This window comes from Homo sapiens, chromosome 1 (assembly GCF_000001405.40).
Source record: "Homo sapiens chromosome 1, GRCh38.p14 Primary Assembly".
NCBI classification, from domain to species: Eukaryota; Metazoa; Chordata; class Mammalia; order Primates; family Hominidae; genus Homo; species Homo sapiens.
Genome location: NC_000001.11, coordinates 145,135,986 through 145,158,943, shown reverse-complemented (window position 1 = coordinate 145,158,943; position 22,958 = coordinate 145,135,986). Strand labels below are relative to the sequence as shown.

Here is a 22,958-nt window from a genome sequence, read left to right as displayed (position 1 = left end):
GTCACAAACTTTTCACAGGTTCACACCAGTGGATTCCCCAGTGAACCAGCTGTCTTAACTCAGGCTTCCATAACAAAATACCACAGACTGGGTGGCTTAAACACGAGGAATTTCTTTCTCACAGTTTGAGAGGCTGAGAAGTCCAAGATCAAACTGCCAGCGGATTCACCTCCTTGGTGAGGGCTCTCTCCCTGGCTTGCAGACTGCTACATTCTCCTTCTGTCCTCGCATGGTGGAGAGAAAGAGAGCACTTTCGTCTTTCTTCTGTTTCTTATAATGACACTGATCTCATCATGGAGATCCCATGGTCATGACCTCATCTAAACCTGATTACCTCCCAAAGGCCCTACCTCCAAAATACCTTCACATTGGGGGTTAAGGCTTCAATATATAATATGAAGGGAACACAAACATCCATTCCATTACACTAGCACCTGCATTTGCAATCCAGCCTCTGGGCCAGGCTTAGCAGTGTAGAGCCCAAGGCTTCAATTGACAGGATTTTTATGCTCTCATGCTCTGGCTCCTTGGCTCCAGAAGCTTCTAGAACCAGTAGGGTGATACATCCTTTAGCAACTATATTGTAAAACACATGGTGGGTAAAAGAGTGCCCTATTAAGTATTTTGGTTATGCCCCCATTAGTGTGCTTGGCTCAATATATTAATAGTAAGTAGTGGTTCGCATCCACCCTCAGTACCATCCTCTGCAGTCATCCTGTCAGTTTCCATTCCATTCTCCTATCCCTGGCTTGCTGGTTCAATACTCTTAAGTGATTTACTGCTGGTGCTCTTCTTTTTCCCTCAGAGATACCTTGTGATTTCTTTGATTCTCTCCATCTCTACAGGTTAATAAGTCTAATATTTAAAAACTCTGTAGAGGGATGTTGGGAAGCTGTGGGGAGAGCCCTTGGGCTTTTCGCCTGGGTAAAGTGCAGATTCCTGAGAATTCTGGGCCTTGGCTTCCAGCTGCACTAGTGCCGGCCACTCAGCTGTTCTCAGCAGCGTCACCTGGCGCAATGGTGCTGAAGCGCACTGCCGAGAGGCCAGAAGGCAAAGCGAGAGTCGGTGGCTATGGCCTGGAACCCATTTAGGCAAAACAGAGGGCGCGCGGGGACAAAGCAATAGAGAAGGGTGGGCAATACAGGATCTGTACACCATACATTAGCAATTGTATTTATTAAATTGTTGATTACCTAAGCCTCCGGAGAGTAGTTTGGACGCTTACCGGTTTTCTGAGGATTATTTGGGGAAGGGGTATGCATGCAAATGTATGTACATAATTCGTGTGATTTCGGAATATTGACTCCATGAGTTCCAGATGCAGATTTGGAACGTTTTTAAAAAACATTTTGTTTTTGTTGTCTCGCAAATCAGCCAGATCTGCAACTGTATCAGAGTAAAGCGAAGCCAAGCTGGACCCTTAGGAAATGCGCTAACATGTCATCCACTTTCGGTGTCTGCCTGTGAAAATTCAGGCGATAAAGAGAATGAAGAGAACCTTAAGGAATTGCTGGAACCAAAGTTAATATTAAGCAGGCCTGCTGTGACGTCCTCTTCCTGGCAGACCAGTGGAAATTGTAGCCTGGTCGACAATCTGTATAGATTGATGAGGTCTAAAATGTAGTCACAGGTTCAACTATTTTTCTGTTTTCCAACCTCGAGTAAACTCACTAAATTTAAGGGCTAACAAAAAAAACAAAAAAACAAAAACCTATGTTTCCATCCAGTTTCGAACCGGGGACCTTTCGCGTGTGAGGCGAACATGATAACCACTACACTACGGAAACCACACGCGGAACCTGCGCGGCAAAACATAACCATGAAAATCTTAGATCAGCCGTTTCTATTATAGTTTCCAAATCCAAGATCGCACCACTGCACTCCAGCCTAGACGACAGAGCGAGAGTCTCAAAAAAAAGTTGGGAGAAGAAGGTGCCATTTTCCCTAGTTGCTTTTCTTACTGCGGTGGTGACCGCATTGCCTTCACACCTGAAGTCCAAGTGCTTGCACCCTGGGGAATATGCAGACAGCTGGGTCACTGGACGCCAGGCCGCAGCGCCGGCCTCGTTCTGCTTTTGGCTCTAAATGCAGTCGGGGGACGCGACTGGACCTCACCAGAGACTGGTGGGCTGTTACCCTTACCAGCGACTGGAGGGCCAACCTCCCAAAGAGGCCTACTTCATGATCGCCTTAAATCAGGAAATTTCATGAAATCCCACCCCTCTACCGCCCCATTCCCACATTGTATCTCCTCCCCTGCCCACTCTGAGAGGATTCGCCCCCTTTCTGTCTCGTCTGGACCCTTTGGAGTCCCACATAGACAAGACAAAAGGGGCATTGCCTTTTCCTACAGGAGCGGGAAGAGCCGTCACAGCGGAGGAAACAGAGACTCACAGCGCGCATCCCCACATACTTGCGCCCTGCCGAGTTCCAGCAAACCCAACAAAGCACTCTGAAGCTTCTCTGGAAAAGGAAGGAGTGTGAGGTTTCTGATACGGCAAGAGGAGCCAAAGAGAGGGGACCCAGGCCTTCCCCTAGCTCGAGAGAACAAACCCAGAAGAAGGGCAGATCCAAAGGAAAAGCGCAAAGGCGGCCCAACCCCACGACCTGAGCGAGCCAAGGGTCGCGGGTTAAATTGCGTTTATCAGAACAATTGTTTGCTCACTGTCCCAAAGCCCTCCTAGGGACAAAGAAAACACTGGCATGGCACCAATCGCAGAAGAGGGCAGCATTGACACCCAGGAACAGGAGTGGAAAAGCAGGAAAAGCAGGGATCATCTCTCCCCTACCCCGTATATGGCTGCAGACATAGCAGTGGTTCTTTTCTCCAGGACCCAGTGAGTATGCACCAGGAGAGAACATTATGCACGTTATTCATGGTGGCACCACCCAGGCTGAAAGTGAGCCTGTGCTGCTTGGGCTTTCAGGAAGGACGGGCCCAACTCTCCCTCCCTATACAGAGCTGCAGTGCCCTGACAATGGAGGACAGACCATGGAGTTGCCTGCCCTGGACTCGGGGAAGAGGCTTTGCCCTAAACCCCATTTTAGTGGTAGCTGTCAGAGTGCCATATCCACAGACTTCAGCTGCACCACAGCCAGGAACCAAAGGACAAAGTCTTTATAAAATGAAGGTTGTGAGCTCTGTGACAGGGCATGATAGGGAAGCGGATCACATTCTTGCCTACTCAGGAGGAGGAGCTAGTGCACCTCTGCCCCTTCCCCTGAGACCTCAGCACACCCCGACATGATCTCTTTCCCACCATCCTGTCAGGGCAGGTTTTTCCACTGGACACCAGCCTACGTAACAGCCCTGACTCTTAAGCACCATCTACTGGACTGCATCCTAAACTGGACCACTGAATTCAAAAACCCTGCTACCAAAGGGCTTAGTGCTAGTCCATGAGATAAGTTTCCTGAGAATTCCGTACCCTCAGCCCCCAACAAGGGTTAGTGTGTTAGCTTTTACTTCCAATACATCACCACAACAAGCAGCATCTGAGAAAGCTACTGCTCAGAAGCTATCCACAACCAAGAAACCCATACAAAGCTAGGGCTCCCTGAAAGCACCCAGAAATGAAGCCAAACAATCATACACAACATACACCACAGTCATACCATCAAGGGAAAAAAAGAATAAAAACATTAAAAATCCTCATCCAAACAATACCAAATTCAAAACTAAGAAGCAACAGCTTCCTCGGATGAGAAAGAATCAGTGCAATAACTCCAGTGTACCCAGAGTATTTACACACTTCCAAAGGATCACACTAGTTTCTAGCAATGGATCCTAGCCAGACTGAAATGTCGGAAATGACAGATAAGAATTCCAAATACGGATTGCAAGGGAACTCAATGAGATCCAAGAAAAAGTTGAAGTCCAATGCAAAGAAATCAGAAAAACAATACAGAATATGAAAGACAAGAAAACTATATTAAGAAAAATACAAATAGAACTTCTATAATTGAAAAATTCACTAAAGGAATTTCAAAATACATTGAAAGCTTTAATAATAGACTAGACAAGCAGAAGAATGAATTTCAGAGCTTGAAGGTTGGTCTTTCAAATTCACCTAGTCAGACAAAAGTAAAGAAAAATGAATTTTTAAAAATGAACAAAGCTTTTGAGAATTATGGGGTTATGTAAAGCGATCAAACCTATGACTTATTGGCATTCCTGAGAGAGAAGAAGAAAAGTAAGCAACCTGGAAAACATATTTGAAGGAATAATTCAGGAAAGAATTTTCCTAACCTTTCAAGAGAGATTGATGTTCAGATACAAGAAATTTGGACAACTTCTGCAAGATACTATACAAGATAACCAGTGAAAAGCATACAGTCATCAGACTTCCCAAGATAAATGTGAAAGAAAAAATCTTAAAGGCAGCTGAAGAAAAGGGCCAGATTATCTATAAAGGAAATCCCATCAGACTAACAGCAAACTTTTCAACGGAAATCTTACAAGTCAGAAGAAACTGGGGCCTATTTTTAGCCACCTAAAAGAAAAAAAAAACTGCCTGTCAAAGTTTCATACTCTGCCAATTTAAGCTTCATAAATGAAGGAGAAATAGTTTTTCCCAGACAGAGAAATGCTAAGGGAATTCATTAACACCAGATAGTCTCTATAATAAATGTTCAAAGGAGTTCTAAATATGGATGGTACTTGCTACCATAAAAGCACATGTAATTACAAAGCTCGTACACCTTATAAAGCAATATATAATTGGGTCTACAAAGCAACTAGCTTAACACTATGACAGAAATAACACCTCACACATGAATATTAACCTTGAATGTAAATGGCCTGAAAGTTCCACTTAACGGGCATAGAGTAGTCCAGGTGTGGTGGCTCACACTTGTAATCCCTGCAGTTTGGGAGGCCAAGGTGGGTGGATCACTTGAGGTCAGGAGTTCGAAACCAGCCTGGCCAACATGGTGAAACTTCATCTCCACTAAAATACAAAAATTAGCTGGGCGTGGTGGTGGGCGCCTGTAATGCCAGCTACTCGGGAAGCTGAGGCAGGAGAATCACTTGAACCCAGGAAGCAGAGGCTGCAGTGAGCCAAGATCGCACCACTGAACTCAGCCTGGGACTCCATCAAAAAAAAAAAAAGGCATAGGGTGGCAAATTGGGAAAAAAAAAAAATCAAACTTTCCATGGCCTTTGAGACCTATCTTACATTTTATAGCCCCCAGGGGCTCAAAGTAAAGTGATAGAGATCTGTTATGCAAATGGAAAACAAGAAAGGTCAGGAGTTGCTATTCTTGTATCAAGTAAAACAGACTAAACCAACAAGAGTTAAAAAAAGAAAAAAGACAAAGAAGGGCATTACATAATCAGAAAGCATTCAATTCAACAAGAAGATTTAACTATCCTAAATATATATGCACCTAACATTGAAGCACCCAAATTTATAAAACAAATACAACTACACCTAAGCAAAGAAATAGACAGCCATGCTATACTAGTGGAGGACTTCAACATCCCACTGACAGCACTAGACAGATCACTGAGGCAGAAACCTAACAAGGAAACTTTGGACTTCAATTGGACTCTTGACCAAATGAACCTAATAGATGTCTATAGAATACTCTATCCAACAACCACAGAATATACATTGTTCTCATCTGTGCACAGAACATTCTCTAAGATTGACCACATACTCAGTCATAAAGCAAGTCTCAATAAATTTTTTAAAAAATGAAATTATATCAAGTATCTTCTCAGACAACAGTAGAATAAAAGCAGAAATCAATGCCAAGAGGAACTCTCAAAACCACACAAATACATGGAAACTAAACAACAGAATCATTTTTGGGTAAACAATAAAATTAAGGCAGAAATAAAAAAAAATTGAAACAAATGAAAGTAGAGACACAATGTGCCAAAAACTCTGGAATATAGAAAAGCAGTGTTAAGAGGAAAGTTTATAGCACTCTATACCTACCTTGAAAAGATAGAAAGATCTCAAATTAACAACATAATACCACACCTAAAGAACTAGGAAAAGAAGAAGAAACAAAACCCAAAGCTAGGAGAAGGAAAGAAATAACTAAGATCAGAGCAGAACTAAATGAAACAGAGATAAAAAAAAAAATACAAAGGATCAATGAAATGAAAAGTTGGTTATTTGAATGATTGATAGACCACTAGCTAGATTAACCAGGAAAAAAAGATCCAAATAAGCACAATCAGAAATTACAAAGGTGACATTACAACTCATATCACAGAAATACAAAAGATCCTCAGAGACTACTATGAGCATCTCTACACGCACAAACTAGAAAAACCTAGAAGAAATAGTTAAATTCCTGGAAGCACACAGCTTCTTAAGATTGAACCAGGAAGAAATTGAAATCCTGAACAGACCAATAATGAGTTATGTAATTGAATCAGTAATAAAAATTCTACTAATCTGAAAGAGCCCTGGACCAGACAGAATTTTACAGCTGAATTCCACCAGACGTGCAAAGAAGAGCTGGTACCAATCTTACTAAAACTATTCCAAAAAATTGGGGATGAGGGATTCCTAACTCATTCTATGAAACCAGTATCATCCTGATACCAAAATCTGGCAGGGACACAATAAAAAAAGAAAACTACAGGCCAATATCCCTGATGAACACAGATGCAAAAATTCTCAACAAAATACTAGCAAACTGAATCCAGCAGCACATCAAAAAGATAATTCATCATGATCATGTGGGCTTTATTCCTAGGATGCAAGGATGGTTCAACAGACGCAAAGAAAAAATGCTATTCACTGCATAAACAGAATTAAAAACAAAAACCATACTATTATCCCAATAGATGCAGAAAAAGCACTCAATAAAATGTTACATCCGTTGCATGATACACACCTTCAACAAACCAGGCATCAAAGGAACATAACTCAAAATAATAAGAGCCATCTATGACAAACCCATAGCCAATATCATACTGAATAGGCAAAAGTTGGAAGCATTCCCCCTAATAACTGGAACAAGACAAGGATGTCCACTCTCACCACTCCTATTCAACACAGTACTGGAAATCCTGGCCAGAGTAATCAGTCAGGAGAAATAAAAGCAATCCAAATAGGAAAAAGGGAAGTCAAATTATCTCTGTTCACCAAAGACATGATCCTCCATCTAGAAACCTCTAAAGATTCCTCCAAAATACTCCTAGACTTGAAAAACAAGTTCAGTAAAGTTTCAGGTTACAACATGAGCATACAAAAATCAGTAGCATTTCTATACACTAAAAATGCTCAAGCTGACAGCCAAGTCAAGAACTTAATCCCATTTAAAATAGCCACACACACACACACACACACACACACACACACACAAATAAACAAAACACCTAGGAATATATTTAACCAAGGAGGTGAAAGATCTCTACTGGGAGAACTACAAAACACTGATGAAAGAAATAATAGACAACACAAACAAATGGGAAAACATTCCATGCTTGTGGACTGGAAGAATCAATATTGTTAAAATGACCATTCTATCCAAAGCAATCTAAAGATTCAACGCAATTCCTATCAAGTTACCAATGTCATTTTTTACAGAATTTAAAAAAAAAATTATAAAATTCTTATGGGGCTGGACATTGTGGCTCACACCTGTAATCCCAGCACTTTGGGAGGCTGAGGCAGGAGGATCACTTGAGGTCAGGAGTTCAAGGGCAGCCTGGCCAATACGGTGAAACCCCATCTCTACCAAAACACACAAAAGTTAGCAGGCGTGGTAGCACACACCTATAGTCCCAGCTAATTCAAGAGGCTGAGGTGGGAGAATCACTTAAACCCAGAGGCAGAGGTTGAAGTGAGCCGAGATCATGCCACTACACTCTAGCCTGGGTGACAGAGTGAGACCCTGTCTCAAAAAAAAAAAAAAAAAATCCCCATGGAACCAAAAAACGGCCCGAATAGTCAAGCAATCCAAAGCAAAAAGAACAAATCCAGAGGCATCACATTACCTAACTTCAAACTATACTACAAGGCTATAGCAACAAAAACAGCAAGGTACCGACACAAAAATAGACACATGAATCAATGGATAAGAATAGAGAACCCAGAAATAAAGTCACACACCTACAACCAACTGATCTTTAACAAAGTTGACAAAAATAAACAATGAGGAAAATGATACCCTATTTAATAAATGGTGCTGGGAAAACTGGCTAGCCAAATGCAGAAGAATGAAACTGGACCCCTACCTCCCACCATATACAAAAATTAATTCAGATGGTTTACAGACTTAAATATAGGACGTCAAACCATAAAAATGCTAGAAGAAAACCTAGGAAAACCTCTTCTTGACATTGGCCTATGACTAAGACCTCAAAAGCAAATGCAACAAAAACGAAAATTGACAAATGGGACTTAAAAAGCTTCTGCACAGCAAAAGAAATAATCAACAGAGTAAACAGACAACCTACAGAATGGGAGAAAATATTTGAAAACTATGCACCTGACAAAGGACTAATATCCAGACTCTATAAGGAACTTAAATCAACAAGACAAAACCAAATAACCCTATTTAAAAAATGGGCAAAGGACATGGCTAGACACTTATCAAAAGAACACATACAAGCGGCCAACAAACATATGAAAAAATGCACATCACTAATCATCAGAGAAATGCAAATTAAAACTACAGTGAGATATCATCTCACAGTAGTCAGAATGGCTATATTCCAGGCTCGAGGCAAGCGTGCTCTTCACGAGTTCTGTCATTCTCTTGAGTGAAGCTCACCTGGTATGGTAAGTTGTCCTCATTTTAAAACATTCAGATTTTATTCTGCAATCCTTTCACATGTGACAGTTTTTCTGTTCTTCCTAAGCATGTAATGGAAGTCAAGGAATTCTACATCCTCACTATCTATTAATATTTCTTACCTTCCCACAGCAGTGAAATTCCCATTCTAGTCTTCTGAAACAGAGATAGCTAATAAAGAAAACTCATTTCTCCTTTAACCTTTTCCACACATTTCAGACCATTCTGGTTTTATTCTTTTCTACACAAATTTTACTCTTTATAGGTGTTCAATAAATAAATATAAACATTAATTTTAAAAATAATTTATTAATTTGATCTCTTCATTTAAAGATAATATCCAATGCCTCCAAGTTCCCACCCAAGAATTCTGTTGGATAGGGCTGGAAAAGTTCTGGAGAACATTCTTCCAGACTCTCTAGGCATCATGTCACAGGATGTCCTCGCCACAGCCAGAAGAGTGACTCTGAGTATATGAATGAGGGGCTACAGTGGACTGTGCAGTACCTAGGGAGGGAGAGACAGGGCTGCAATGAAGTCTGGAGGGATTTAGGAGATTCATTGATTGTACCAAACAAAAACTTAATTTCTTCTCTCCTATTCCGTACCCAGGTGAAAGTGGGAAAGACAGGAAGAGAGACACCAAGCTTTCTAGTTGACAGCTAGTGACTCTCTGATTATCTGCAAAGATTGGGAAAGGAACTTAAACATGACATGTAGATTTTCCAGAGATATTTACTCCTGGAGCCAGGAGTCTGCGAACATGTAGGTGGGATCTTTTAAGAAGCAGCCTTATCTAGATTGGGAATAAGCTATTATAGTTTTAGGCTGTGTGGATCTGGTCAACTTTTGTGCTGCCTACTTCTCTTTGCTTCTACAACTGGGCATTGCTGCAGAAAGGAAGAAATATGGAAGTGACTTCAGCTTTGATTTTTTCCTTCTGGAAGCCTGAAAACTCCAGTTTGCTTCCCTGAGCCCTTTTCCTGTTGCACAACTAGGGTGTGGACTACAGGTCCTACCCATGGAAGATGGAGGTAGATACTTCACAGGGAATAAAAACAACCCAGACAAGTCATACCTTTAGGTAACAGATACTTTCAAAGATGTACTTTCCTGCACCCATTAAAGTTTTAGTCTCAGCTAATCTGAAAACCTGCGGTCCTCCTGCACTGGGATAGCAGTGCAATATGGCTCAGGCTCAGGTTTTGCTGGGCACACCAGAGTAGGCCACACACTCTCATGTGAAGTGGCTTCAGGTATGGATCAGGGTCTTTCCCACTAATTGGCTTCAGTTATGATGTTGTAGGTCATCATTCTTCTGGCTTTAATACGAGAGAAGAAGGGATGGGGAAGAACTGGTCTCCAAGTGAGAGCATCCAGGGTGAAGAGTGTGGAAATAAGGGTCATTAGCACAAGAGAAGAGCCAGGTGATATCAAAGGCATGTAGTAATGGCATAAAGGTGGAACGTTGCTCTCATTCTGCTGAAGTGGGCACCATGGAAACCTTGGTGCTACCACTCGCCAGTCAGGCCACAAGCCCAAGAACAGCACCAGGCAGTATAAGGACATATAAGAATGACATCACTTCAGATAGTCCTGAGAATTAGACCTATCCCTGCTTGGGGCAAACCACTCAGTGGGAGCAATAGTACCCTTCTGCTTCCCTATCTGGGCTAATTGTAAGGAACAAGTGAAATCATGCACACCAATGTGCTTTAAACCGGTAAAACTCTGCCCCAAGAAGCTATGTGCCCTTTTGAGACTCCCTAGACGTGGACAGAAACATAAAATTTCTGCCTTTCTACCTTTTCCTTGGTCACCATTGCTAAGCACATGCTGCAGCCTCTCCCTCAGGCGGTCATTGAGACTGATGGACTCCTCCAGGCGCTGGCGCAGGTTCTGTATCTCAGCAAGATTCTTTTCCAGCAGGTCGGCCCCTACTGCAAACACCAAGACATAGGAGAGGTAGGAGGTAGGGAAGCCTGATCATCCCTGGGCAGCTGTGGGGCCTGCGTGGCATCTCTCTGCAAGATCCCTACCTATCTCTATCCTTCTGTCAGCTTCTTCCTCTCTCCTGGGCATTCAGGAAGCACCAGGCAACTTTACTTAAAAGTCCTGGGCTTTCAATCACAGGGTGGCCCCCTGTAAGGAAACACCACAGGCCTCCTCCCAGACAGAGACCACCAAGTACATCTAAGGGAGATGGACACAGGGTGAGAAACTGCTAAAGGCCTCTAGGCAGAACTGGCCTAGTAATGGGAAAGGCTGTCTACCTCCTTGGTATGGAAAACAATCCAGAGAATCTCCCTCTCTACCTCATCCCTCTCCCCGATGATGATCCCGACTCAACAGCCTTTGAGATTTCACTCACTCACAGACAGAAAGACCAAGGTAAGTGCATATGAAATTAAACCAGGCTGTGAATAATGAGTGATAGTGAATGTTCTCCTTTAACCAGTTTTGGCAAAGAGGAACATGGAAGAGCTTGGGAAGGTATCAGGATCTGAAGTGGGGGAACAGGAGAGAAGGGAACAATCTCCAAGGAAGGAAAAAGATGCACAGAGAGAGGAGGCTGAGAATAGGCTTCACCCACTGGGAGATTTTGCGTAGGGTCAGGCTTTTCTCTGAGAATTTAAAATGTCTTATTGTTACACTACCTGGGACACAGAAATGGAGCTGCTTCAAGCCATTCCTCTAAATAGCTGCACTCCTAGCTGCCGGGTGCCAGGATGTTTGGCTCCAAATCCAAAAGCAATGTTTATGGGGGCAGGATTGGCACGTGGTTGTATGCACAGTGTGTGTGAAAGATGTGTGTGAAACAGGAAGGGGAATATCACACTCTGGGGACTGTGGTGGGGTCGGGGGAGGGGGGAGGGATAGCATTGGGAGATATACCTAATGCTAGATGACACATTAGTGGGTGCAGCGCACCAGCATGGCACATGTATACATATGTAACTAACCTGCACAATGTGCACATGTACCCTAAAACTTAGAGTATAATAAAAAAAAAAAAAAAAAAAGATGTGTGTGAAAGAGTGGAAAGAGTGTGTAGGGCTGGGTGACTCTGTAGAAATAGTTTCCCACCCGACAGTAGCTCCTGACCTAAGGAAGACCTTCCCCATGGAAATCTGAGCTTAGCATTCCAGGACAGTCTTAATCTAGGCCTAAGAAGGTTGTAGCACAGAGAGAAGGCAACATTTAAGTGTGAGGTAACTTATCCTCCTTGTAGAGCACCTCAGAATGTCCCTGACTTCTCCTACTCTCCTGCCCAGAGTGAGTTCCTAGGTAGGGTGGCTAGGAGAAGGCACTTTCAAAGAACAAGCACTGAGCTGGTTCTCACTGTCTGGCTGATCTACATATTGTCCTGTCATTTTTTATGAACCAGGTTCTAACAGAGGAACCAAAAAATCCTCTGGCCAGGAAAGGAATGTGTCATTCCTACCAATGGGCTCGATTTCACTAAGTGCTCCTTTGTGTTTTACCAGAGGTTTCGGAGTTGGGTTGGTACAAAGAGGAGAAGGAGGCTAGGTCTCCAGATGCATTCATTTTTTGAGGCCTCATCTCTTCCCATGGGCCACTGCTACCGTGTTCTAGTGTCCTGCTCTGCTGGGCCAGTGCCGCTCGAAGGATGGAAGGGCTGGGCAGGCCTGGTTCCTTGGTTGCTGGGCAAAGCAGCTGAATCAGCAGAAATGGCAGGGCTGGCATCTGTCCAGAAAGGAATGTGAGTGAGAAACCAACAGGGAAGTCATAAAAGAGTGTTTTAAAGGCAATTATAGTGAGTTGAATAGTGTCCTCCAAAAATTCATTCAGTTCACTTGGAACTTCAGAATGTGATCTTATTTGTAAATGGGGTTTTTGTAGATATAATAAGTTAAGATGAGATGATACTGAATTGGGGGTATGTCTTAAATCCAACATGACTGATGTCCTTATGAGAGGAGAGGAGACACAGAGATAAAGAGACACACAGAGAAGGAGACCATGTAACAAGAGAGGCAGAGATTGGGGTGATGTGTCTACAACCCAGAAACCACCAGAAACTAGGAAGAGGCAAGGAAGGATCCTTCCCTGGAGTCTTCAGAGGGAGCATGGCCCTGCTGACTCCCTGATTTTAGACGTCTTCATCTCCAGAACTGTGAGAGAATACATTTCTGTTTTAAGACGCCCGGTTTGTGTTTTTTTGTTTTGGAAGCCCTCGAAAGCTAATAAAGCAATCCACGGAATGAAGACTAAGGCAGATGTCAGCAGACTCATTTCCCAAGGACTCCCCATTTCACCCTAAAGTAACTGGCATTTCTCAGCCTATGACATAAGCAGTAGTGTTAGTTGTAATATCTGAGCATCACAGCGCACATACAGGAAAAATATGGGGCCCCTCTCCTAGCTCCCTTTATGATTCCCAATGCTGGAATGATCCTGGGGAGGTACTTCAGAAATGTTTCTCCTAATAGCAGGACTCACAGCCAATCCTAGGAGTTCAGACAGTGAGGGGTGAAGCATTTTGTTGGTCTGTAAACAGGTGACTATTTATTCAACATTCTATGCCCTTGCCAGAAACACACCAGCTACTCCTTCCTGGGATTGTTCTACACTGAGGCTGTTGGAGGAGGAGGAGAAAATGGCCTCCACTTCTGGACAATGTGCAGAGAACCTAGAGAGTGTTGCTTCCACTCCTGGTGGTTCTCTCTCTGGCCTCGGCTGACTCTGGACCTGCAGTGAAGCTGAGGGGGTGTCTGTCTAAGGCAAGTGGTGATTTGGATTCCACCTAGAATGGCTTTTGACACTGCAAAAATAATTCTTATGTACAGCTCACATTGTCTGGCTCCTGTCCATAGAATAGCTAGTGTACTCTTGCATAGAGGATTGTAGAATCACAAAATACATGGCATCTTACAGCTCAATGATGCCATGAGAACATGGCCAGATCCTCTGGGCCCTTCATTACTGTCTCCCTTTGAGAGAAAAACCAAGCTGGGGTGGCAGGGCCATAATTCAGAGAAAAGTTTTAGAGTCTTTCCCTTTCAAGGATTATTATCAAGGGCTAAAGAATAGACAAGTTTCTCCTCTGAGCAGGTGGGAGTGAGGTTTCTGTTTGCCCTCAACAACATCACGTTCTTTTAGGAACTGTATATTTAAATCAGTATCCAGTAGGTCTCTCCTTCTCCAATTTATAAAATATCAGATACTAATTAGAATCACTGTGAGATAAAGAGTAATGACAACTATGTTAAGTCTTTAATAAATGCCTGACTTAAAGTAGGAACTCAATCAAAATGTGATTACCACCCCCTTTCAAACCTCCTTTAACTCAGAAAATCAGTTTACTCTCAACCATGGCCATAGGAAGCTCTAAGTTTTATCAGTAACAGTGATCAGTGTTTTAACGTTCCCTGGCCATACCACACGGGGAACATGCCCTACACTGCAGATGGAAAGCAACAGAGACTAGACTTTTGTGAAGGAAATTTGGCCTCACAATGTAGCTGTCATGCCAGTGCACTACAGGTTGACTGTTCTAGAAATTTTGGTTCAAAAACCAAAGAGGAAGTGGTGATAAACAGTTGCCCCTGTGAAAGGACAGTGACTTCAAGTGGGAAAGAGAAGGGCTTCGATCTCCCTCAGGAAAGACAGTTGTGGCAAAAAGTAAAGCTGGTGCTCTCCAGAAGCATCATTCCAGAGGCCACACCTCACTGCAGGCAGTGGCAGGGATTGCAGGTAAGGGAAGCATGGGCTTGCCCTTCTGCCATCTCTTGGGGCAGTGCTGAGGTTGAAACAAGTGCCTCTGGGCAACTGAATCAAGGATGCACATAAAAGTCCCATTGGCCCCTTGGAATAGGTGATGTACATATCAAGGGCAGCTCATCTATTTACAAATTCTTAGATAGAAGTGTAATATGTGTAAGGTCTTGTCCCATCTTCAGAGGCCAGAACTCTGCTGGGTGCACAGAGCAGAAAAAGTGGAATGAGAAAAACCCTGGCTCCAGAAGCCTAGCAAAAGAGGTGCTGAGAAGGAGTGAGCACCCTTTGTACGCAGCCCCTGACTTCTCAGGCTGCAGAGTGAAATGCTCACAACCTGAGCTTTGAGTCAGGTAGACTCAAAGTGTATGTTACCCCAAGCTGCTTTGTCTTCAGTAAGTTCCTTAACTTTGCTGAGCCTCAGTGTCCTCCACTATAAAAGCAGAACACCACTACCTATTTGAGGGGATCACTGTGTCAATTAAATGAGGAAATATATGTATAGTGGTCAATATTGTGAGCATAATAGGTGCTCAATCAATGAGAAGTTCCTGTCTTTCCTTGGCTGCTATAATCTTAGAGGAAACATTTTGCCGCTTTGCTCCTCATTGTGAAATGAGAAACAGGAATAGTACCAGATCAAAACCCATTATGGGCCGGGCATGGTGGCTCATGCCTGTAAGCCCAGCACTTTGGGAGGCTGAGGCAGTTGGATCACCTGAGGTCAGGAGTTTGAGACCAGCCTGGCCAACACGGTCAAACCCCATCTCTACTAAAAATATAAAAATTAGCCTGGCGTGGTGGCAAGCACCTGTAATCCCAGCTACTTGGGAGGCTGAGGTAGGAGAATCACTTGAACCCGGGAGGCAGAGGTTGCAGTAAGCTGAGATTGTGCCACTGCACTCTAGTCTGGGCGACAACAGCAAAACTCCGTCTCAAAAACAACAACAACAACTAAAAACCATTATGGCTCACTCATTACTTAAAATTGCCAATTTAGAAAAAAACACCAGATACAGCCAGGGACTAAAAATAATTTCTTGGTATTGTCCACATTAGGATATGATTCATACTGGCCTAAAACTTCAAACACTTTTCTCAAGAGGAAAATTAAAGAGAAAACTGAGCAGGAGAAAAATGAAAGTCTGGTTTCAAACTTAATCTCCTCTTCCCGTCTCTATCAAGGCTATCCCAAGGACCCTCTCAGGGAAATTCTCAGGAGGGACACGCTGGTTGGTGATGGACTCAGCTTGAACCTCACAGCATGGCCCCATTCACTGATAGTTTAGAGGGTGTTACAGCAAACTTATTAGGATGATGGATGGGATCTGTAAATGCATAAATGATAAAGATGATTTAGTGATGAACAAAAAATAGGAACTGTGGCTGTTTACCCCAGGGATTCCAGGATTAGGTGCACAATGTTAGCAACACTCATGTCCCTAGTTTGAAAGATGACATAACTGTGTGCAGTGAAGAGGAACTATTTGCCCCCTTTCTCCCCTTCCCAACCCATGCCCCCCAAGACCAACACCATGTATGTGCCAGAGGGGATCTAGTGACTGATGACATGTGAGACTGGGAATGGAGAAAAGCTACCTGAAAGCCTTGGGGCTTATGCTCAGCACTGAGTCCTGGAGCTGTGCCCGACCAGGTACATCACGGTGGATCTACAGGGCCCGGCTGCAAAGATGCCACCTCTTGGCCTAGACAATGCATGAGCCCCAAAAACTGGAGCCATGTGGCTACTCACTGACTACAGTCACTGAAGGATGCACTTCCTCCTTGTCAAGCTGTGGAGACGTGCTGCTCAGGGAGTGATGTGGGGTAGACCGGGTGTGGTTGCTGCACCAGATCTGGGGCTGAGTCTGGGACCGGGCATCCCACTTGGTCTCTAGGACTTCTGTCACTTTACTCATATTATGCATCTTCCTCAAGATACTAGTGGGGTAAGAAAGAAGAAAAAATAAAGGTCACCTAATGCCACAGCTGTACTAATCTGGAGGCTCACAGGAGATGTAAAGGGGAGGTCAAGAGGATCATTCCTTCAGAGGAGAAGCCAAACAAATCATTTCTGTTTCAGGATAGAGTATGGAGGGAAGGCGGGGACAGAGAGAGCAACAGTTGTCTGGTGCATTGGCTACAAACATCCTGAGGAAAAACGAAGCCGTAATGGGCCCCTTAAATAACACTCATGATTCCTTCACAAAACAGCCAGAGACCCATAAGAGTTCAACTCCAGGTATGGGTATGGCGGTACATGCCTGTAATCCCAGCAATTTGGGAGGCCAAGGCAGGAGAATTGCTTGAGTCCAGGAATTCAAGACCAAACTGAGAAACATAGTGAGACCCTCTGTCTACAAAAAATAAAAATAAAAAATGAGCTGGGTGTGGTGGTGTGCACCTGTAGTCCCAACTATTTAGGAGGCTGAGGAGGATCACTTGAGCCCAGGAGGTCAAGGATGCAGTGAGCAGTGATCGTGCCACTGCATTCCAGCCTGGGCAACAGAGCAAGACCTCATCTCAAAAATAAAATTTTAAAAATGTTAAAAAAAAAAGAATTCAACTCATTCTGTGAACATAATTTTTAAAATAGTATTTGCTATAGGCCATTTAAAACAGATTCCCCAGGCAATGTAGCCTCACTGGTGTCTTGCAGTTTCTAGATCTCCTTCCCTAAGTATAGAGACACAGTATAAACTTTTGTTTGCAAGGAAAATTTGTAGCTGTTTTACATCTTCCAGCACTCCTTGGGTCACCCTTGAAGAAATCAGATATAATCTTACTCTGGTCTTTAAATAAGGGAAACCAGAGGTGATCCCTGGAGGTTCAGAAGACTCCTAAGACCCAGATAGGTTAGAGCAGCTCTATGTTACTAAATTGGTGAATTAATTGGTGAAAATAAAAGAATAATATATTTTTTAAAAAATTTTAAAAATGAGACTGCCTTATCCCTAAGGATACATAATGGTTTAATGGATAAATAAGCTATTTGTTTTTTACTGGCCATGTATGCTCCTGTTTCTTTGAGCTTCTGGCTCTTGCTTCTGGATCCTTCACCAGATTACATCTTCGACAGCCCCTGAAAATTTGGAGTTACCTGAGAGTCGAAGACACCTGTCCTACTTGATTCTTCTTACTTGTACAGTCATCTGAGAACAAAATTCAAAAAGGCCAGTCATGCTTTAAGCAGGTCTCATTTCCCAGACTGCAAACAAACATGGAGGTCTATCTGGGAGCAGAGACTTGACTACCTGATGCTTGCCTTGATTCCAGGATACTCTGAATTTTCTCAGATCTTGGGTTGAGTCTTTAGAGAGCTTGCCTGGCAGGCTTTCCTGAGCCCACCATGAAGGTCATCATCTCCACTTGCTTTGCCCTGAGTCACAGCAAAAAGCTAAAAATGTCTTTATTCCCACATATCATGGAACACATATCCACTCCAGCCAAAGCCTCCAAGTCCTGGCACAAGGCCAGCACCCAAACCCATGGCTGTGTGTTCCACCATAGCTTTCATGCAGAACTTCCTCCCTTCTCCAAGGAGATGATAGACATCCGTGTCCCACCTACCATCAGGAGACAGCACAGTGAACTCAAGCCTTCTGCTACTATGGGCCCTTGGGTTCTCAAGGGGGAATTTCATGTAAAATGCTCCTGAAACAGCTAATTATCTCACCACCATGTACTAGTACACACAGTGCCTGAACCATGCCAAAGTCAGCATGATTCTTTATCATTTTTTTGAAGTGTGCCGATTAATGTTACTTATTTAATCCCTAGAACAATCATGCAACATTCAAGGGCTGGAATTATTTGACTTAATTTTTTAGGTAGAGAAACAGAAATCAAAATAAATATTAACCTGTCCAGAGCTGGTAAGGAACACATATAAGCTAGAGGTAGGGTTTTTGGATTCCCAGTTCAGGGCCCTTCACAAAAACCAGCTGCCCCTGTTCCTTCTGTCTTTCTGCCAATTAGTTTCAGATGAATACCATCATCCCTGGGGATGCCTCCTGCCCTAACAGTCATATTCCATGAGGGATGGAGGTGCTGGTGATCATCATGGCATCCTCAACCCTTCTTCTTGGAGCTCCTCTCCAGCCAGTCCTGACTCTGTGATGGTCTTAAGGTGGTGATTACAAAGCAGGACACCAGGTTGAAAAGTGACATGTGAATGGGGGTGGGATCCTGTGAACTTAGGACCTTGGGAGAGACTGAAAATCTTCCTAAGCTCTGCGGCCAACTTACCTGTGCTGAATTTTCTGGCAAGGCTCTCTGCCAGCTGGCTTCCTTTGGCCAGCTGCTCGCAGTAGTGCTGCTCCATATAGTGGTCAATGTTATTGCTCTGGAGTAGCTCCTCAAAGGTCTTTAGTGTGTTCTTGACATGCTGGATGAGAAGAGCAGAGGCCACTCTCCCAAGCTTCATCTTCTGCCGTAGGTGGGTTAACTCTTGAGACTGATCCTGAATCAAGGAATGATACTTCCTAAAGTAGAAAAAAAGAAGTAAAGGTAGATAGGAATAACTGATAGGTTATAGCAATTTAGGAGAAGGAACTTGAGAGTATCACCAAAGGAGGCCACACACTGAATTCTAGCATATGTTTAGTGTCCTGAATATGGTAAAAGGAATGAAGGAAATGAAAACAATCTTTATGTGAAAGATCCCTTCTAAGATTGTCATTTTCCCTGCCACTTGCTAGAGAAGAAAAATCACTTGATCATATTAATAGATGAAGAAAAAGCATTTGACAAAATTCAACACTCATTCATCATAAAAACTCTCAACAAAGTGGGAATAGAGGAGACCTTCCTCAACTTGATAAAGAACTTCTATAAAAACTCTACACTAATGTCATACTAGAAACTAGAAGCTTTCTCACTAACATCAACAATAAGGCAAGAATTTCCCCGCTTACCACTTCTTTTCACCATCATACTGGAAATCCTAGCTAATGCAGTAAGATAAGCAAAGGAAATAAACGGTATACAGATTAGAGAAGATGAACTAAAACTGTCTTTGTTCACACATGATGCAGTTATTGTATTATAGAAAATCTCCAACATGGTGAAACCCTGTCTTTACAAAAAATACAAAAATTAGCCGGGCGTGGTGGCATGCGCTTGTAATCCAGCTACTTGGGAGGCTGAGGAAGGAGAATTGCTTGAATCCAGGAAGCAAAGGTTGCAGTGAGATGACATCGTGCCACTCTGCACTCCACCCTGAGTGACAAAGTGAGACACTGACTCGAAAAAAAAAAAAAAAAAAAAAAAAAAGGCCGGGCGCGGTGGCTCATGCCCGTAACTCCAGCACTTAGGGAGGTCGAGGTGGGCGGATCATGAGGTCAGGAGATCGAGACCATCCTGGCTAACACAGCGAAACCCCGTCTCTACTAAAAAAACAAAATAGTAGCCAGGCTACTCAGGAGGCTGAGGCAGGAGAATGGCTTGAACCCAGGAGGCGGAGCTTGCAGTGAGCCGAGATTGAGCCACTACACTCCAACCTGGGCGACACAGTGAGACTCCATCTCAAAAACAAAAAGAAAAGAAAAGAAAATCTGAAAGAATTGACAACAAAAATCTCCTGGAACTAGTAAGTGATTATGTCAAGGTAAAATCTAACAAAACATGTACAAGATCTGTATGAGGAAAACTGCAAAACTCTGTTGAGAGAGATCAAAGAAGCACTAAATACACAGAGAGATATTCTGTGTTCATGGACAGGAAGACTAAATATTGTCAAGATGTCAGTTCTTCCCAACTTGATCTAAAGATTCAATGCAATACCAATCAAAATCTCAGCAAATAAATTTTGTGAATATCAACTAACAGATGCTAAGGTGTACATAGAGAGGCAAAAGACCCAGAATGGCCAACACAATATTGAAAAGGAACAGAGGGCTGATATGACCTGACTTCAAGACTTACTGTAAAGCTACAGTAATCAGGAAAGTATAAGATTTGTGAAAGAATAGACAAATAAGTCAGCGGAACAGAATAGAGATTCCAGAAGACTCCAAAATATAGCAGATTGATCTTTGACAAGGGGACAAGGGCAATACAATGGAGAAAAGATAGTATTTTCAAAAAATGGTGCTGGAACAGCGGGACATCCACATGCAAAAAAAGTGAATCTAGACACAGACTTCACATTCTTCATGAAAACTTACTCAAAATGGATCATAGGCCTAAATGTAAAACATAAAATGATAAAAAAAAAAACCCTAAAAGATAACAACAGCTGAAAATCTAGATGACCTTGGGTTTGGTGATGACTTTTTATTTATTTTATTTATTGATCTAAAGATTCAATGCAATACCAATTTTAATTTAGAGACAGAGTCTCTAAATAAATTAATTATTTTATTTATTTGTTGGAGGGCATGATCATGGCTCACTGAAGCATTCCTTGGGCGTGATCATGGTGTGATTATGGCTCACTGCAGCCAAACTCTTGGGCTCAAGTGATCCTCTTGCCTCAGCCTTCCAAAGTGCTGGGATTACAGGTGTGAGCCACCAAGCCCAGCTATATGATTACTTTTCAGATATAACACAAAAGGCATGATCCACAAAAGAAATAATTGATAATCTGGACTTCATTAAAATTAAAAACTTCTGCTCTGCAAAAGGCACATCAAGAGAATGAGAAGACAACACACTGGGAGAAAATATTTGCAAAAGACATATCTGGTAAAGGACTATTAAGCCAAATACACAAAGAACTCTTAAACTCAACAATAAGAAAATGAACCACACAATAAAAAATGGGCAAAAAACCCTGAACAGACACCTCACCAAAGATGATGGCAAATAAGAATATGAAAAGATGCTCAACATCATATGTCATTAGGGAATTGCAAATTAAAACAACAAGATACCACTCTACACCTATTAGAATGGCAAAATCCAGAACACTGATAACACCAAATGCTGGTAAGGATGTGGAACAACAGATATTCTCATTCCTTGCCGGTGGGAATGCAAAATAGTACAGCCACTTTGGAAGACAGTTTGGCATTTTCTTGCGAAACTAAACATACTCTTACCAAATGACCTAACCATCTGCTCCTCAGTATTTTCCCAAGCGAGCTGAAAACTTAAGTTCACACAAAAACCTGCACATGATGTTTATAGCAGCTCTATTCATAACTGCAAAAACTTGGAAGCAACCAAGATGTCCTTCAGTAGGTGAATGGATAAATTTTGGTACATGCAGTCAATGGAATATTATTTGGTACTAAAAAGAAATGAGTTATGAAGCCATGAAAAGACATGAAAGAACCTTAAGTGTGTAAGTGAAAGAAGCCAACCTAAAAAAGCTACATACTGTATGACTCTGACTATATGACACTATGGAATAGGTAAAACAGTGGAGACAGTAAAAAGATCAGTGGTTGCCAGGTGTTAGGAGGGAAAGGAGAATGAATAGGCAGAGCACAGAGAATTTTTAGGGCAGGGAATAGTCATTCTTTATTACAATGGTGGATACATGCCATTATACATTTATACTTGTGTCAAAACCTATAGAATATACACCACCAAGAATGAACCCCACTGTAAACTGTGGACTTTGGGTGATGATGAGTCAATGTAGGTTCATCAGTTGTACCAAATGTTATCACTCGGGGGCAAGATGTTGATAGTGAGGGAGGCTGTGTCCGTGCAGGGGTAGGGGGCATATGGGAACTCTCTGTTACTTTCCACTCAATTTTGCTGTGAACTTAAAGCTGCTCTTAAAAAGTCCATTAAAAAAAAGAATGATCACAGAAGTATAATTTTTAAAAATATATTTGATGAAGTGGGTGTAGTGTAGCCTTTGTGAATCGAGAGCACAGGATTCTAATGTTATCTCTGCCAGAGGCTATTATGCAACTTTGATCAAATGACTATCTCTTAGGGCCTAAGTGTTCTCAGTTCTGAAATGAGGTAATGAGACTAACTGACTCTAGAGTTTTTTGGGTGTTTTGTTTTGTTTTGTTTTGTTTTGTCTGAGATGGAATCTTGCTCTGTCATCCAGGCTGAAGTGCAGTGGTGCTATCTTGGCTCACTGCAATCTCCACCTCCCGGGTTCAAGCAATTCTCCTGCCTCAGCCTCCCAAGTAGCTGGGATTACAGGTGCCCACCACCATGCCCAGCTAATTTTTGTATTTTTAGTAGAGACGGGGTTTCACCATGTTGGCCAGGCTGTCTCCAATTCCTGACCTCAAGTGATCTGCCCACCTCAGCCTCCCAAAGTGCTGAGATTACAGGCGTGAGCCACTGCGCCTGGCCTAGCGTTATTTTAGCCCTAACTAACATTATTCTCTGGGTCAGTGAAATTTAAGTGGAATATATTGGGCAGTGACCTAATGGAGCATGAAGCAGGATTTGAATCACTTCCAAAGCTGTGCACCAACCACTTAGGCAAATTAGTGATTTCAGTAACTTAGTATTTCAGTAACTGGCGCTCACAGGCAAAT

General features: G+C 42.7%; 1 protein-coding gene and 1 non-coding gene across 3 annotated transcripts; both read right to left on the bottom strand.

Annotated features, from left to right (window-relative positions):
• Positions 1 to 1,714: 1,714 nt before the first annotated feature.
• Positions 1,715 to 1,787, bottom strand: TRNAV-CAC (transfer RNA valine (anticodon CAC)). The gene has a single exon. It is a non-coding gene; the product is annotated as a tRNA-Val (tRNA).
• A 7,265-nt stretch (positions 1,788 to 9,052) lies between these two features.
• LOC101929805 (myomegalin-like) lies at positions 9,053 to 12,388 on the bottom strand. 2 transcript variants are annotated; one of them, XR_007066541.1, is made up of 3 exons: positions 12,249 to 12,388; positions 10,569 to 10,703; positions 9,053 to 9,270 (listed from the first exon to the last, which is right to left on the bottom strand). XR_007066541.1 is itself a non-coding variant. In XM_017003041.2 (3 exons), the coding sequence occupies exons 1-3, from the start codon at positions 12,325 to 12,327 to the stop codon at positions 9,194 to 9,196; spliced, it is 465 nt and encodes a 154-aa protein (XP_016858530.2). In that variant the 5' UTR covers positions 12,328 to 12,388; the 3' UTR covers positions 9,053 to 9,193. The 2 variants fall into 2 exon arrangements, 1 of the variants encoding a protein (XP_016858530.2); XM_017003041.2 differs by having other exon boundaries at positions 9,053 to 9,444.
• Between the last annotated feature and the right edge of the window lie 10,570 nt (positions 12,389 to 22,958).